Here is a 17,634-nt window from a genome sequence, read left to right as displayed (position 1 = left end):
TAAAGGCATAAATGGTAAAATAACAACATTTATTAATTTGGGTGGTACTGCACTGTTCTGTATTTTATAATTTTTTTCACAAAGAAAAACCCTATGGTTGCTGTCACTAATAAATGAGATTATGCATGAGCAGAGCCTGATGCTGGGCTCCCATGCTTCCTTACGATCTGACCGTAAACAAGTCAAGTGCAGGGAAGCATCTCAGCTGCTGCGACAGCCCCCATACCTCACCCTGCTCCTGACACGTGGGAGGCGCCCCATAACTCAATGTGCTGAACGGATCAAAGCCAACAAAATGGCCTGGTTGACCATCAGAGAGGCTGGTGGAAGCTAAGAGTGCCCCAGGAACTTTTTTGGTCATTCTGAAGTTGTTTCCTGCTTATTTGTTGATTTTTAACCATTGGTTTCAATGCCACATACTCTAAGTCACTCTGTAAGATAAACATCAAAATATCAGATTGCTTGGGTGTTGGCAGAGATACTGCCCCCTCCTCTCTGAAATGACCCTGCAACAAGAACCAGATAAAGAAATAAAATGGAACCAGTGGGCACCCCGATCCTGAGCAATAACATGCCACAAGCGGAGCCCAATGCAGCTATGTTTGCCCTGGGATCATGAAGACCCTTAGTGGGGACTGGCTGCTGTAGACTTCAGACAAGGCCTGCAGAGTGGAAGGATATACACAGCAATGGAAAGCCAACCATTTCTTAGAGTGTTGAAGAGAGGAGACTGAATGGCTGGCAGCCTCACTGGGGAGAAATATGTATTAAACCAATTCATTCTCTCTCTTTCACCCTCTCTCTCTCTCTCTCTCTCTCTCTCACACACACACACACACACACACACACACACACACACAACATTATTGAGAAGGGAGGAAATATTCTGGTAAACTGGAACACATCCAAGGCCCTTCCATGATCTATTTCAAAGATGAGGATCCTACCTTGGATTTGTACAATGATGCTGAAATAATTAAAGAAGAGAAGTAACAGGAGAAACAAATGGCAAAGGACTTTCATGAGAAAAATGTCCCAAAAGGCAGATGAAGGCATGTCCACACACACAGATATGGAATCAAAGAACTTAACAGAATAATCACTTGGTTAAAATAACAGCTCAAAAGGGAGGAAGGGGCCAAAAAACAAAAAACAAAAAACAATGATAAGCCAGCAGAGATCAGGAGAAAAGGCCAGAAAAGAAATGTTGGCTATTATATCAAGCAGGGAAAAATGAATGGATATTAACACTGCAGGCAGCATGGGGGACAGGATCTGTGGAGCTTGAGAAAAATGAAATAGGAATTAACAAAGACTTCAGGAATTCAACAGAAAAATTGAGAAAGACAGGGGTGATCTAAAATATATAAAATTAATGTCCCTGAAATAGAGAATTAAAATAAAGGAGTAAAACACATGTTTAAAGTTATAAAATTTCCAGAAATAAAAAAAGTCTTGTCTACAGGGGTTAAAAGAGCATCTTATCCAGGAACCTCTAGAGCAGGGATGTGCAATCTTTTGGCTTTCCTGGGCCACACTGGAAGAAGAAGAATTGTCTTGAGCCACACATAAAATATACTAACACTAATGATAGCTGATGAGCCAAAAACAAAAAATTGCAAAAAACAAAACAAAACAAAACAAAAAACTCATAATGTTTTAAGAAAGTTTACAAATTTATGTTGAAAAGATATCTGTACTCCCATGCTTCACTGCAGCACTATTCGCAATAGCCAAGATACAAAATCAACTTAAAAGTCCACCAAGGAATAAACGGCTAAGGAAAATGTGGCACACACACAATGGAATACTATTCAGCCATGAAAAAGAAGGAAATCCTATTGTTTGTGATAACATAGAAGAAGCTGGAGAAAGTTATGTAAAGTGAAATAAGTCAAGCACAGAAAAACAAATACCTCATGATCTCACTCATATGTGGAATCTAAAATGATTGAACTCATAGAAACAGAGAACAAAATAGTGGTTACCAGGGGCTGGGGAGTGATGGAATAAGGAGATGACAGTCAAAGACTACAAAGTTGCAGATAGAGAGGAGGATTAATGATAAGCATTTATGATGATGGGTATGTTAATTGGCTTGATTCAACCCTTCCACCTTGTACAGATATAATATCACTGTGTACCCCATAATTATGTAAGATTAAATTTGTCCAAAAAATTTTTAAGTATTACTGGGCCTCAAGCTTCTCCTTGGAAACACAACGAGCCAGAAGACAGAAGAGTTACATCCACACAGTTCTCAGAGGTGGCAGACGTGTCCAACCAGAGGCATATAGTCCAGCTAGACTCAGGGCTGGCAGTGAACGATTTCAGGACTTAGACTAAAATGACTGTGGAAGGTTCTGATGTCTCTGTCGAAAATCAGAAGAACAGAAGCACAGCTATCTGCCTTCTAAACACATGCTTCTCTGTAAGATAAACATCAAAATATCAGATTGCTTGGGACACATCTAGATGTGTCCTAAAACTGCCAATGCCCAGCCCAGTACAGCCCAGTGAAGCAGATTCTAAGGGCAGGCTCCGCTGCCTAGGTGGTTCTCACGATCGCTAAACAGAACAAGCTCCTGCTTCCATTAGTAAGCTCAATTCACAAGCAAAACAAAACAAAACAAAACAAACAAACAAAAAACAATGAAAAGCTCCAGCTGAGAACAGTGGTTCTGCATTTCAGCTGCAGGTTAGGATCACACAGAGTGCTCTTTTCCCAGCCCTAACACTCAGAATCTCTCCCTTGTAAAGCTCTCTAGAGAGCTTAGCATACAGCCAGATAGAGAAGCAGTTGCTCTAGAATTATCTAGAATTATCACCTCTATGTGGAAGGTTCTGGGGTTCAAAACTGATCCAAACAGAGCTGACTGCAGAAGTGAGCAGCAGCGCAGGCTCCCAAACAGAGGGGAACAAGCACAGAGCCGAGCACATTCCCCTTTTCACGTGGGACTATAAAGAAGTCACATGAAAAGCATCATTCAGGAAAACATTTTTAGTGAATGAAAGTGTTAACTCAATGTTTAGACGTATCAATTTTGTTAAGACAATAATTCAGGAAGAAGAATCTTGATCGCGCCTTTTGCAGTAAGTGGAGCCTGAGTGCTGGTGGTGGGGCGAAGCTCCCCTAGGAGGGCAGCACGTGACTGCACTTCCTGGAGTCAGGCTGAATCATGAAAGGAAGTCCTATAATTCACAAACCCTTCAAAACGACTTCTCTTGTGGCCTTTTATCTCTACTCAAATTAAGCAGCACAGGAACTCCAGAGACAGGCCAACCACACATCTCTGCCCCAGCGCCTGGAGTGAGGCAAGGTTGGAGCCGAGGGGCCAGTGGCAGGACCCCACCTCTGCTCACTGGGGTGCCTCAGAAGGCTCCCCTCTCAGCCTGCCTTGATTACTTACAAAATGAGCAAATGGAAGGCATTCCCAGAAACAAACGCCTTATTTCTTGGTCTTGAAGGTACAAGGGCCACTTGCTTGGCATCTTATTTTTTTGTTTTGCCTTCGTGAGAAACACGTTACCTCTCTACATCTTCTTTTCAAAATGGACAAAACCTCAGGTTCCAAATGTTTCAAGGAAACTATGTTGGATTTTTTTTTTTTAACCGAAGAGAAAGGAACAAGCACTAAGGTTTTCTCCAGTCCCTCAAAACCCTCTTGAGCAAAAACCTGGTTTGTTCTTTCAGAAACTATTCTGAACCAAGTGTGCTTACCCCAAGGATACATGACTTAGTAGCTTTCTCCAAGGCTGTGTTACCGCTTGGAGGGCTGCTGCAAGGAAATAACTGGGAACCATGTCAGTTCCCGGGTGACTGAGAAGTAACATTATTTTGTGTGTGTGTGTGTGTGTGTGTGTGTGTGTGCACGTGTGTTGTGTTGTGCAGGAGAATGTTACAGCCTTGGGGATGAAAAGGGCCAGGCCAGGGCCCCATGGACAAGACTCAAGGTCTCATGTCAAAGGAGAGGGCACTCCTGGTGCCCTCATCAGTTCCCAGGGTCAGATCCTCTTAAGAAAATTGGGAGCTGCAGGTATCAACACATGAAATAGTGGCGAGTGTTACCGTGCACTTAGGCAAGGAGTGGCACTGAGAACTGGGAAAGGGGAGAGGTGGGTGGAAGTTCATATCCCTTCTGGGCTCCTCAGGGGATGGGCTGAGAGCAGCTTGGTGTCTGGCAGACCTTGCTACAGCAATGGAAATACCTGTTCTACTCTGCCTGACACACACCTTCCACCCACGTGTGGCAACTGGTCCCTGACACCTGGCCTGTGTGACTGAGAACTGAATTTTAAATTTTAAATGAAATTCAACATTTATTTTAAATGGTTTTAAGTAATTGAGCGGTCAGTGGCCACATGTGGCCAGTGGTTCCATAATGAACAGCCTTAGCAGGGATGACAGAGACCAACATGATGAGCTGCATCTTATAAACACACCGCCAGGACCAGAGTCTGTGTGGTCCTGGTACTTCCCCCTTCCAGAAATTCCTTCTAGTTGGGCCAAACTTGAAGGCTTTGGGTTTTCTTTTGATAATGGGGGTGATACATTTTTCACTAAATATCTAGTTGACTATATCCAAGTCATATCTGATATATTACAATATGAGAAATAACTTTAAGAGTGCCCACAATATGCAAAGAGGGTGCCATGCTGGGAGCAGAGTATACAAAACTCTCCATGCCATGGTCTCTAACTGGACATTTTAAAAGAGCAAGGGCCAAAGTCATGCAACAAAGTCTTTTAGAGCTTCTGAGTAAGATGCCCCCCGGGGGAGTGACCTTGTCTAGTGACTGGGGATGTGAGAGTGGAGGACAACGCACCCCCTATGTGTTGCTTATTAAACCCAGCAGAGCCCTAAACACATGATTAGGATCTAGACACAGCTTATTTGCTTATGATACTGTTGGGCAAGAGTCACTCTGTTTCTGTGACCCTCTTATAAAATCTTTTTGCTTGTAAAAGAACCCTGTCTTCAATTCCCTGGTAACCAGTAGCTATTTATCCTTGACATCCCGCACTCAACCATGAACATTTGACAGAGGGCCTATTCTTTGTGAGCCAGTCTGATTGGTGCTTTGCATACAGCATCTCTGAGCTTGATAGCAACCCAAGGGTTAGGTATTTTTAACCTCATTTTGCAGATGGGGTACTACCAGCCCCCAGCAGTTCCAGTGAAGGATGGAATCTAGACCCCGAGGCCTGGTCTGCTTCTGACAACCACTCTGCCCCCAGAGAGGGCTTTAGAGCCACTTCTTGGAACTGGATGTTTACAGGTCTAAGCCACAATTCTAGAGATTTTATTAAAAAGTGTAAACATGGGGGCAGGCGATGAGTCCAGGGGCCCTTCTGGGCGAGTATGGCACAGTGCTGATGGAGGTGGCTGGGGTGGGGAGGTAGCAGCAGCGGCCCATCCCCTAATGACTCACAAGAACAGCCCTTCTGGTCACCATCAGCTGCAGCCAGCGAGGCCCAGAAGCCAACCCACAGACACCAAGAAACTATGGACCAAACTCTCAACCAGGAGCGAAATTGCTTACGTCCTTCTCACGAGAAAAAAACATTTCTCATGAAGCATGCAGATGGCAAATGGTCTGACAGAATAAAGCATGGTGGACTAAGCATAATGTTAAAAAAAAATCTTAAAGACGAAAACCATTCAAATCCTCTTGTGTAGAAAATGTTACAGGTCAGTTTTGCTATCTGACCAGTGCACATATTCTTCCTCTGAGAATTATTTCATGTGCATTCACCTCCTGCAAGTCTTACAGTTGCACGCTGAGAATGCACTGACATTCTCACTCTAAAGCCTTCCTCCAAAAGTTCTGCAGAGTGGCAAACCTTAGGAGAATATAAGTTCCCGTGGAAAGGACTGTTCGCAACAGAAAAACACGAGCCCTCTCTCTCTCAATCTCTCTCTCTCACACACACACACACACACACACACACACACACACACATATCAAATGGGGAGGAGCCACTCTGGCCTGCCCAGTGTCTTTGCAGTCAAAGGCACACACAGCTGCCATTATACCCAGCATACCAATAAATCCCAATTTGGTGGAAACCTCATCAGCCTTTAAAGATGTGTTTGTGTGCTATGAAATCCTATGAACTAGCTGTCAAATGGTGGTCCTCAATCTTGGCTCCTGCACTGGGTGGGGTGGAGTAGGAGTGGCTTTAAGAAACATCTGAAGGCAGGCTGCACCCCAGAGCACCCCAGTGTCCTTGGAGGTGGCCTGGGCTTCAGGACCTGAGTGACAGCAGGGTGCAAGCATGTTTGAGACCATGGCTGTACACCTTTGGGTGAGCTGCTGAACCTCTCAAAGCCTCGCTCTTCATTGGAGGACAGAATGGTGCCAGCAGTCATGATGCATGATGTGTTTCTAAGTTACTTCTCTTCCTGGTCTCATCCTACTTACCCTTTCCCCCCAAGCAAACCTTATTATTATCATTTTTCTAAATTGAAAAAAGTACACACTCCTGATCGTTGTAAATACTGCAGGCACACTGAAGTAGGCAGAATAAAAATGTTAATTTCACCTTTTTCTCTAAACCAATTCTATTCCCCTCCCCCCAAAGCTGCTGTTCTTAATTTGGTGCTTACACTTCCAGATCATGCTACATATTTACATACACATGTGTACACACTGGATAGAATATGTATAGGCAGAAATGCATGTATAAGTAGTAAACGACAATCCAATATCACTTAAATTATTATGTGCATGTGGGAGATTTTTAGGTTTTTTTTTTTTTTTTCACTTATTATTTTTGAGACAGGGTCTTGCTCTGTCACCCAGGCTGGTGTGCAGTGGCATGATCTCAGCTCACTGCAGCCTTGACCTCTTGGACTCAAGTGATCCCCCCACCTCAGCGCCCCCATGTAGCTGGGACTACAGGTGCACACCACCAGTCCAGGCTAGTTTTTTTTTTTGGTATTTGTCATAGAGGTGGGGTTTTGCCATATTGCCCAGGCTGGCTTCAAACTCCTGAGCTCAAGCAATCCACCCACCTTGGCTTCCCAAAGTGCTGGAATTACAGGCATGAGTCATTGCACCCAACCCAGCATGAGTTTTTTAAACAAATACAATGATATGTTACATCTTGCTTTTTCACTAGTAGAACTTGGACATTGTTATATTTGGTGTATGAAATAAATTCCACATTTTTTAGAAGACTGCATAGGATTCCAACATATGAATCAACTGTACTTCCCTTAGTGATTTTTTTTTGCTATTATAAAATAAAATGTTGCAATGAATATTTCTCCACTTTTGTCAATTTATATGTGTGATAGGTTCCTAAAAGTGAAGTTGTTGAGTGAAAGCACTTGTGTTTTAAATTTTAAAAGATATTACCAAACGGCCCTGTCAGCACCCATCTGTGTCTTTTTTCTTATTGATTTGAAAAAACTCGCTGCATATTAAAGCTATTGATGCTTTACCACAAGTATTGAAATTAAATATATCTTACCATTTTTTTCACTTATTTGTATATTTTTTCATTTTATGGGGATTTGCTTAAAATTTTAGGAAATCATGCTTATCAATCTTGTGATGAGTGTGAATATAAATTCATATGTTTTATCACATTTAGACAGGCCTCTTCACAATTATTTTAAAACTCACCTAAGTTTTCTTTTAATAGCTTCATTATTTCAATGCTATATTTTTATTCTTTGTTCAGCTTGGAATTTATTTTGATATAAAGAGCAAAGTTTTGTTTTTTTTTCCAAACGATTTGCCGTTTTCCCAAGACCATTCATCCATGGCCCTGCACCTCCCCCGCCTGGTGTGCAAAGCCTCCCTTGGACCCATGCCTGCATATTATCTGGGTCTGGGCTCTACTCCCCACAGCAGCTTCACTTTACAATTTTGTGGAGTTTGTCTCCCTTAACACCTTTATCTTACATTTCTTCCCTGAGTCTTCTCATAAGTCTCTCTCTCTTTAAGTTTTTGCACATCTAAAGTGAAAGAAACACTTTACCGTAAGTATTTTAATGTGCTTAATTGTGTTTGGTCTTCACACTGACAGAGTTCTGGAATCATCTGTACAGCAGGCTCATTTCAGGGGCCTTAGACATCTGTCCATCTCCATATCTGGAGAGCTCCCTGGTGCTCTTGATGGCATCACAGAAAGGCCATCGTGGGGAGGTGCCAGTCTTCACTCACACATTTGTTACAGGTTGAATTGTGTCCCCCCAAGTTCAAATGTTGATGTCCTAACTCCCTAACCCCTCTGAGTGTGACCTTATTTAAAGACAGGGTCTTTACAGCAGTGATTACGCCCCATTGAAGTCCTTAGGGTGAGCCCTACTCCAACATGACTGGTGTCCTTACATGAAAAGGAGATCTGGACCCAGAGACAGGCACACAGGGAGCATGCCATGTGGAGCTGGAGATGGTCACCCACAAGCCAAGGAGATGCTGGGGGCACATTGTCCCACCCAACCCTTGGAAGGAGCCACCCTGGGACATCCTGACCTCAGTCTCTTTGGCTCAGAGTTGGGAGGCGACACATTGGGCTGTTCAAGCCGTTCAGTATGTGGTGCTTTGTTATGAAAGCCTGATCGGACTGATACTCCATTCCTCCATAACAGACACTGACACAGCTTCCAGAGTCTTCTGAGAAGAAACAAGCTCCGGGGAATACCTTACACACTGCTGGCTTCTTTGGGGAAATCATCCCTCACAAACGCTTGCCTTTCTAGCCTGAGCCCTTCTCCCCAGCTGCCAAGCTGCCTTTCCTTGACCAAATCATTGAAGTCCCACCTGCCTCACAAACATTTCCATAACAGGAGGGAAACGGGTCTGAGATCTGTCCACACCTGTCCACTCCCAACCCTCACGACAGCAACACAAGCAGAGAGCAGCAGTTCTGCCCCGTAGGGGGACAGCCACAGACATGGAGGTCTGATGTGGGAAGGACAGAGACACTCACAGCTAGGGGCTCGGCACTCACTTTCCACGAGGCTCTAGTTCACTCTGGATAGTAAATTTATCTCTATGGAAGGAAGGCATGCATAAAAGCTTCAGCTCTTCTCACTTGAGTCTCTCATTGGTTTGGGATTGTGTCTAATTCCTATTGTATATGCTTAACTTCTCAATGCAAAAGCCACAAAGATCAAAACAAGTTTTGTGTAACCATTGGTGATGAGTAAAATTGGCATGTCTGACACTGAGCCTGTGTCCTCCCTCTGCCTCTCCAGGCTTTCCTGAGCTGCTGACAGGACTCCAAACCTGCCCACCAATTAGGCAGGACAGCAGATCCTCTTTTACGCCTTATTAGAGTAGTGGATAGGGATTCTGGTTCTGGATTAGAAACACCTAGTTTTGAGAGTTCTAATCCCAGCAGCATCACTCAGTGGTTGGACAAATCCCTTCACCTTTCTGAGCCCGTTTCTAATCGGGTTGAATTAGATACTCTGCATATTTAAACAGGCTTCTAAGAATCTATGAATTTGGACCCTCGGTATCCTAATAAGCAGGACAGACTTCATGACAGAGCTACAAGATCACCAGCAGTGATTTGGGGAACCTAACGCCAAGGCCTGCGATGCAGCCTGCTCTAGCCAGGCTCTTCCTGAGCCCTCACTGTGAGTTCCTTCACGTAGCCATGACCATCAGCTGATTGGTGTTGTTAACCAAAAGGAAGTGGTGGCCTTCCACCTCAAGCATATGCACAGCTATAAATGCAGAGAAGGGGAAGAAACATGAAAAACAGTATTACAGAAAATGAAGTCATAGCACGCTGAGGATCTGAGGAGATGTTCCATGAGTAGCTTGGCAATGAATGCTCTCCTTGAAAGGCATGAAGCAGGTCAGGCTCACACTGAAGGGGGCAATCACAGTCCCCCTGTGCAGGCAGGCAGCAGTGTGGGGGGTGCAAGGTGGGAGAAGACCAAGGGTGGAGTGCCTTAGAAGCGACAGAGACCTGAGGGAGGAACAGGGAGGAGCGGGAGGACAAGGGAAGAGTAGATGCTCCCCAGCTCCAAGAAAGCAGCAGAAGACGCCTCGCAGGAAAAGACAGGTGTGTGGCTTCGTTTGAATAGGGAAGGCATGGCCATACCCACAAAGAACAGGGAGTTCCTGCCACCCACACACCACACAGACCAGTTATGGGCCCATCCTGCCCTGTGCACATCCAGGTCTTGCCCTCCTCCTATCTCATGTGGGACAGGCTGCAAGAATGCAGCCTTAAAAGACTAATGCCTAGGGTACCTAAAAAAAAAAAAAAACCAACACACACGTGGAAATACCCAGCACATCAGGAAAGCTGACAGCAGGAGAGAGAGGCACCAAGCATGCAAGCAGATGAACTGATACCCCGGGAGACGGGGGTAATGGTGCACTCAAACAAGTAATAAAATACACAGAAAACTAATACATCACTTAAAAAAATCCCAAAGAAGTAACTACATTCCTTGGAAATTAACCACCTGCTTGCTAAAATAATCATAGGAAAACTAAGTGGATGGACTGAAGAACAGGATGGACAGGGATGAAGGGCTTCCTTGAGATAAAGATTAACCTGATGGTTTCATGAAAACACAGTGCAAATGGCAAAGGAGAGGGAAAGAATGAAAAGAAAAAGTGCATTCATTGCAGCACTGTTTATAATATCAAAAATTAAAAAAAATCGACATGCCTATTCTGGACTGTCATAAAAATTACAATAATCACTGAATATGGAGACCTCCCCGCACCCCAACATATTAATAAAAAGAAAGTTCCAGAGTGATAAAGGTATTAAGAAGACATACACAGCCCACCATTATATCTTCTGAAGACGTGCACACATGCACACATGAATGCACAGGACGAAAGAAGAGAGGTTAGAGCTCCAACTGCTCCCCAACAGTGGGACTGGGGGCAGGGCTGGGACTGAGGGTGGAGGTTAAGAAGGGCTTTTCTGTTGCTCGCTGTATCTGAATCCTGTACTAAAGGATATGTACTCGTGTATCAGTTATGCAATGGACAACTTTCCTAAAAGAAAATATTAGAAAGTTCTCCCATCTTGGAGGTCAGAGAAACTAACTTTGGCAATTGTAGTTGCTCATCAAACCTATCTGGACGTGCCTTCCCTCCAAGACTGCAGGGCAGATTCCCAGAGTCAGCCCGCCTGGGAGAGGCTCTGACAGTTATGTCAGTTTTAACCACATACCAGGTACCGAGCACTGCAGGCACGGTCTCCATTAGGTATCAGAGTGAAGCCCCCTGTGACTGCTCCATTTACAAAAGAAGAGCTTACAAATAAAGAAGGGGGACTTGAACCCAGTGGGGCCTCAGACCCTTACTCTCAACCCGTAGCTACAAAAATATTCGATAAATGTCACTTTGAGGCAGTGTATCCACCACATAATTCATATATTGTTAGCATTTAAGATGAAAACAACCACAACATTCTGCCTCTACCAAGCAAAGCCTAAGGAGCTTGGTAAGGAGCAGCAAGAGGTCATGCATGGTTTCCCAAAGAGGCTGTGGCAGAGCCAGCCCTGAAAGCCACTCTAAGAACAAACGCACTGCAGGGTCATGGAAGTGTAGGACCACTGGCTGAGACTGACTCTCTCAGAGAATCTCTGTGCATGTTACCTGCACAAAGGCTCTGAAGATGCCCATGATATTTATCCCTGCTTGCTGCACTTTATTTCATTCAGCATTTCTCATGCTTACTTACTTGAGCAAGCTTCCCAGGGAATTCCACTTAGCACTGCAGTTCCACTTCAGGAATCAATCAAGGAAATCGAGGAGAAGGCCAGCAATCTGCTTAAAGTCTCATGAGATCTCCATTTCCACAAAAATAAACATTCTCATCACTCAGATAATAAAATGTTGGTGTCGTATATAATACAAAAGTGACATTGACACTGATGTAAAACATAGATGCTAACTGTTAAAGTGGAGTTAAAAACCATCTCTCACTAAGCATGATTCAGAATGCACCCTGATGGAAGAAATCATAAAAGTTCTATACTACAATAAATAAATAACCATAGAATTAAAAAGCTCTGGAGAAATATTTTCAATAATTATGACAGTGGATTTACAACAGGTAAAATGTAGGTGAGTGTTAACAAGAGGCATATTAATGCCACAGATGTTACAACAAAGAGTATGATAAGCAATTTACATAAAACATATTTAGTCAACAAATATTCCCCATAGGGCTGGGCACAGTGGATCATGCCTATAATCCCAGCACTTTGGGAGGCTGAGGCAAGAGGATTGCTTGGGCCCAGGAGTTTGAGACTAGCCTGGGCAATATAGTGAGAGCCCATCTCTACAAAAAAGAAAAAGAAAAAAAAAAAAGAAAAGTCCCACACCAAATATCCTCCAAACATTCTTCAGGTATTACTGTATGTATAGCAAGACTGAAGAGCAACTGTTAGACAAGAAGAAGATGGAGGGTTCTAGAAAAAAAGAAAGAAAAATGGAACCGTGAGATTACTTGGTATATCTGACACTGTAGAAAATTGTGTCAATAGGGCTTTCATCTTTATGTCAGAAAGTTGGGAAGGAAATGATAATAGGCACAGTGCAAACTAAGAAAACACAAAAACAAAGCAAGGGTTTACCCCAGGAAGAGCAAAAAGGGGTACGAGATAGAAAATGGAATGATATACCTTGCTTTAGCAGTAAACTATATTTATATAACCATAATAAAATAAACCAAATAACTTCTTAATCTCAAATGAGAGAATAATTATCCTGGGATGGTGTGAGAAGGAGTAGAAGGTGATGGTGGTCTAAAACTCCAAAGTCCTGAATTCTCAGTGTCAACAAACACTGTTTAAAATTAGTACACCAAAAAACTTTGAAAATATGCCAATCATAAGGAAATAGTGAGAATTCTAGAGGACATAACTCAAAGCAGTACCAAAGGATGGGCAGAATGAAAAGAGGAACTCATTACAAATTAAAATTAAACAAAAAGAGAAATTAACTTAGGTCACACCAAAACATTTTCATGTCAACTCAACAGGAACTGATAGATGTAATATTAATAAACTACCAGGTTGACCATGGGAAAATAAAGATTTATCAGTTAAGACAAACCAATGGAGGGGAGAAATGAAAGGTCATATGTTGAACATTCAAATGCTACTTATAGTCAGGCAGAGTATACTTAAGTAAAGCAATATTTAAACTGTGGATATTCCTAAATCTCTGCCCTGGGCCCTCCTTCTGTTGAATTTACTTTCTCTCCCTAGTTCACAGTATCCAGGTCGAGAGCCTCCCTCACCCTGCTCGGTAGACCTGCAGCTTGCCTGCAAGGTTTTCACTCAGGTCAAGACATCTCTCATCTGCATCCCAGGCTAAAAGCCCACTGTCTCCTCACACTTATGCTCCCTTCCAGCGCTCCAGGACAGCAGTAACTGGAAGCGCCTCTCCAGCTCAGAGCCAGGATCCCAGTTTCAGAGCTAGACACCTCTGAGCAGAGGACCAGAAAGCTCACAGTACTCCTCAGTAATCCAGTAATCATCAACATTCTTAACTGTCCTCGCTTGCTCCACCACCATCTGCCTTTGGCCAGCTGCCAGAAATCAATACGTGGTGTCCCAGAAAGAAAAGAATCAAGGGAGCCATTTGGATTTATTAAATGTACTGTAACATAAACAAAATATTCTTTCTTTGCATATCTTTGGTCTTGGCTAAATTCAACTGTCTTTAAGATTCCAGTTTAACCACCTTTTAAGAGATGTAGGGCAAACCTTGCACAATTGATTCATAAAGGAAAAAAAAACCTCAAATTGATACAAGCTAATATTGGTCAGATAAAATTATAAGCAAATAGAAAATGTCCCTGATAACATCATATCAAAATGAATGAACTTTCCTAAAATCCAATCAGACTAGTTCTTAAAACATCTTCCCACAATCCCTCAGTAGAAAACCCTTTTTTCCTAGTATTCAAATCCAACCTGTTCAAATCTAAGTAGAAGAGGAAGGTGATAAGACACAAATGAGGCAATTTGATCATAATCTCTCATTAGGACTCTGCCTTCTGATTTTAGTTGCTTTAGAAGAAAAAGTAATGCTCAATGTGTAGACTTCTAAAACAAAACAAATTCTTCCCCAAAGGCCTAAATTCCTGTTGTTGTTGTTGTTTTCTCCACCCAGTTATAGCTAAACCAATCCAGAAGTAGTGGAAAATGTTAAAACCAGCAAAGCAAGAGTAGAAAAGTCAGGGGGTAGCTGGAAAAAAATCTATACAGGGAAAGTTGAGAAAGTAAAAATTAGCCATCACTTAGGCTTAGATAACTGACACAAACCCAGCTGGTTGCAAAGTTAACAGGAAATAATATTTCTTCCATGGACAGACTGCAGCTGTAAAGGGTGACAGTAACCCCTCCTGTAAGTAACTTCTGCTCTGTTTCTCTAAAATGGTAGACTGTCAGAAACTATGCTGTTTGAAATTATATTACAAAGATGAGACATCCACTCTTACTTGAAGTACCTCTATTTTGATCGGTATGATTGAAAATTCAGTAAAATCTTGCTATTTAAGACTCCCTAAAGAGAGAGGAACTGCCCTTCTAATTACTGGAAAGTGTGAAGTATTGAACAACATAAATGCACTTTCCTTTTAAAAGCAAACCGTAGTTCAGTGGAGTCTAATACAGACTCAGTCCCTCAGCTGCAGCTCTAAAAAGCTCTGAAAAACAACACTTTTTTTTTTTTTGGTAAGTCTTAGAGAAGCTCTCGTAGTGATAACACCTGCTCTAAACAGACACACAGCTCTTTATAGTCTTTATTTATTCCACTTAGTGAGAATATTCATGTTCTTAAATGTAAAAGTACAGAAATATTAATGCATGGAATTACAGGATTCTCTCCAGACTATATTGGAATGGCATGTAACCAGCAGGGTCAACATGTATGTTTACCTTTCTAAATTCTGAGCAATGTCTTTCTCAGTTCTGAAATTTAGATTCTAAATTTTAATTCCAAATTCTGAAAAAGCTTGAATTCCAAAATACGTCTTGGCACAAGCATATTGGATTATAACCATGGGCAAACAATGTGCTAAATAAGTGAAGTTCTACTAAGAAGTCTTCCATTAAAAAAAAGCAGAGAGATTAGACCTGCATTTAGAATATTAAATAGGGGCCTAACAAAGATCAGGGTGATTCATTTCTAAAGTGAAATCTAGCAATAAAATAACGTTTCTACCAATTTCATCTCTCAGGAAAGATAAAGACCTAAAGTATACACCCCATTTTTATCCTAGCTTAAAACTTTCTAGTTATTAAGACTATTATAAAATCCTATTTTATATTTCACTTCAAATACAGAGGCTTAAAAAAAAATCTTCCCACAATCCCTCAGTAGAAAAATCTCTTTTTTCCTAGTGTTCAAATCCAACCTTTTCAAATCCAAGGTAGAAGAGTAAGAGGATAAGACACAAATCAAGTAATTTGATTATAATCTCTCATTCAAATACACTTTAAAGTGCACTTCAAATACAGGGGATAATACAAATCAATTTCTGTTTTAATGCAAGAGTTTTCTAAATACGTTAAAACAAAAGTGCCGTTCAGAACAAAAATGATTTGATAAAATAATTTCAACTGACAAAGATTTCTCACTTAAAACACTTAATAATTTACATGTATTTAAGCCTTTTTGAGAAAATATAATTCTATCTATGCACTGCTCGGACTTTCACTGGGGAGAAGGAGGACATCAATGTATTTAGTTGCATTTAATTAAAATGCTGCCTGTGTGAAGGCAATGAATTTGTCCCTACTAAGACAAAGAAGTCAGATGGTAGAATCAATTCCATTTCTTCCAGGAACTCTTAGGGATTAAATGGTTCCTTTTTTTATTTTTAATACCAAGAATCAGATATGGCACAACATCTTCAACTCTTTTTTTTTTTTACTACACGCTGCAATGCTTTGAACTCTACTTGAGTTCGACTGAATCTTTGCTAAGTCAGGCAAAACTCAAAAAATATTTTGCAACACTGTTTCCAACGTAAAAAAAGATTCAAACTCTCACTTCTCCAATTGTCTTTCTAGTCCTTGAACATTCCAACAAAAGAATGGATTGCATTTATATAGTTTTTAGGTGGGCTTAAGGTTTTGGAGCCACATTGCCAAAAACAGACAAACAGACAAAAAGAAACACCCTTAACTCTTAACTCAAATTTACATTTTACTACATAAAACTTTCTTGCTCTCCAAGTTCATTGGCTAAGTAAATTACTTGACAATGAAAATGTATCCACAAGAGTAATTATGCTAAATTTTAGTAGTGGTTCAGAAGGGTTGTTGTTTGAATGCAACTGCTGTTTCTTTTTGTAGTAAAAGATTTGTCTAAGCTCATAAGACGTCTGGACATTTCTACTTTGAGTAACTTTGATAAACACTGCGGCATTTTCCAGTGGATTCGTGTAAATGGCCAAAGGAAAATGTTCTAGCTCCAAGATCGACTTCCTCGCGCTGTGCCTGATCCCAATCCCGCGTCTCCCGAGGGCCGGGCCGCGACCGCACTTTCCGCGCTCCCTGGGGGCCTGGGCGCCCTGGGGTGCCCGGGTCACTTTCCGCACGGTCTGACCTCCGTCCCCTCCGCCCAGGCCTGAGCCCCTCTCTCCCGGCGCAGCTTCTGGATCCCGAGCGCGGGTAGGTTCAGGAGCGAAGCTGGCGGAACCCACCTGTATTTTATTCACATGGTTTCAGCACTTTTACCTCGGCCGATGAAGGTAGAACAAGAAAGGGCATGAAAGCAGCGCGTCGTTCCCCGTAACCTCCTCTCCTTACCAGAAAGTCCCGGCCGGGTAGGGGACGCGGCCACACCTACCTGCGCCAGGTGAGGCGAGGGCGGGCGCAGCGCGGGGCCACCCGCTCCTCCTCGCTCTCCAGCCGCCGCCGGGGTGGCCTCAGCCGCCGGGCCCGCGGCTCTTCCTCATTTTGGGCAACTTCCTTAACGCGCCCGGGCAGGCGGCCCGCACTTCCTCCCAGTGTCGCGCCCCGCCGCCCTGGCCCGCCCTGCTGACCGCGCCCATGAGCCCGGAGCTGGGCGGGAATCGGCTGAAGCGCCGGGCGAGGCCCGCGGAATCGGCCCAGGCGGCGGCAGGTGTAGAGGAGCCCGGGTGGGGCGCGCCTCTCTCCTCCCGCCGGACAAGGGCCCTTCGCAGGCAGAGAAGGTGGGGCTGCCCGGGACATGGACCGCATCGGTCCCCCTCCTCCCCGCCAGCGCGGTGGCTTCTGTGACTGCCCAGGACCCACAGACACCCAGCGGCCCTTTCCTTTTGCTATGCAGTGCCGGGGAAGAGACTCCACTGCATGGCATATTCCCTGGAGTGTATCTTGGTCACCAAACCAACAAGCTCCAAGCTACTGTGCTGGAGCACTCGGGAGGCCTGGGCAGTGCTGAGAGGGACCCTGTAGGTGAACACCAGACTTCACGGCGCACTAGTGGGCAATGGGGCACGCTGCTTCTGAAGGCTTTAATTATTACAAAAGGCTTTGCTTCCTTCTTACCATGACGGCTCTGACGTCCACAACCAAATAAATTAAACCTATAGCCCTAAGAATGGTTTTGAGATACCCGCCTGATACCCTTCTCCCAACCCATCCCCCTTTTCCTTTTGGACATTCCTCTTTAAAATGTTCCCACAAA

General features: G+C 43.2%; 1 protein-coding gene across 8 annotated transcripts in view, besides 4 other annotated features; it reads right to left on the bottom strand.

The window, feature by feature from the left end:
• Window positions 1-17,106, bottom strand: part of SYK (spleen associated tyrosine kinase) — a 96,950-nt gene extending 79,844 nt beyond the window's left edge. For 3 of the 8 annotated variants that reach the window (XM_047423809.1, XM_005252147.5, XM_047423810.1), the window contains exon 1: window positions 16,667-16,887. The gene's annotated coding sequence lies outside the window, so the exon portion shown is untranslated. Of the gene's footprint in view, window positions 1-16,666 lie in introns of all 8 variants that reach the window. The other 5 variants (NM_003177.7, NM_001135052.4, XM_047423811.1 and 2 more) reach the window with 2 other exon arrangements.
• Window positions 2,522-2,571: an enhancer, noted in NCBI's record as "active region_28574". NCBI's record gives its function as "activates an Ori minimal core promoter by ATAC-STARR-seq in GM12878 lymphoblastoid cells {active_cell/tissue: GM12878}" and the evidence as "EXISTENCE:reporter gene assay evidence [ECO:0000049][PMID:35858748]".
• Window positions 9,769-9,918: an enhancer, noted in NCBI's record as "active region_28573". NCBI's record gives its function as "activates an Ori minimal core promoter by ATAC-STARR-seq in GM12878 lymphoblastoid cells {active_cell/tissue: GM12878}" and the evidence as "EXISTENCE:reporter gene assay evidence [ECO:0000049][PMID:35858748]".
• Window positions 16,749-16,908: a silencer, noted in NCBI's record as "silent region_20023". NCBI's record gives its function as "represses an Ori minimal core promoter by ATAC-STARR-seq in GM12878 lymphoblastoid cells {active_cell/tissue: GM12878}" and the evidence as "EXISTENCE:reporter gene assay evidence [ECO:0000049][PMID:35858748]".
• Window positions 16,929-17,138: a silencer, noted in NCBI's record as "silent region_20022". NCBI's record gives its function as "represses an Ori minimal core promoter by ATAC-STARR-seq in GM12878 lymphoblastoid cells {active_cell/tissue: GM12878}" and the evidence as "EXISTENCE:reporter gene assay evidence [ECO:0000049][PMID:35858748]".

This window comes from Homo sapiens, chromosome 9 (assembly GCF_000001405.40).
Source record: "Homo sapiens chromosome 9, GRCh38.p14 Primary Assembly".
NCBI lineage: Eukaryota > Metazoa > Chordata > Mammalia > Primates > Hominidae > Homo > Homo sapiens.
This window is presented reverse-complemented; position numbering and strand designations above follow the sequence as displayed.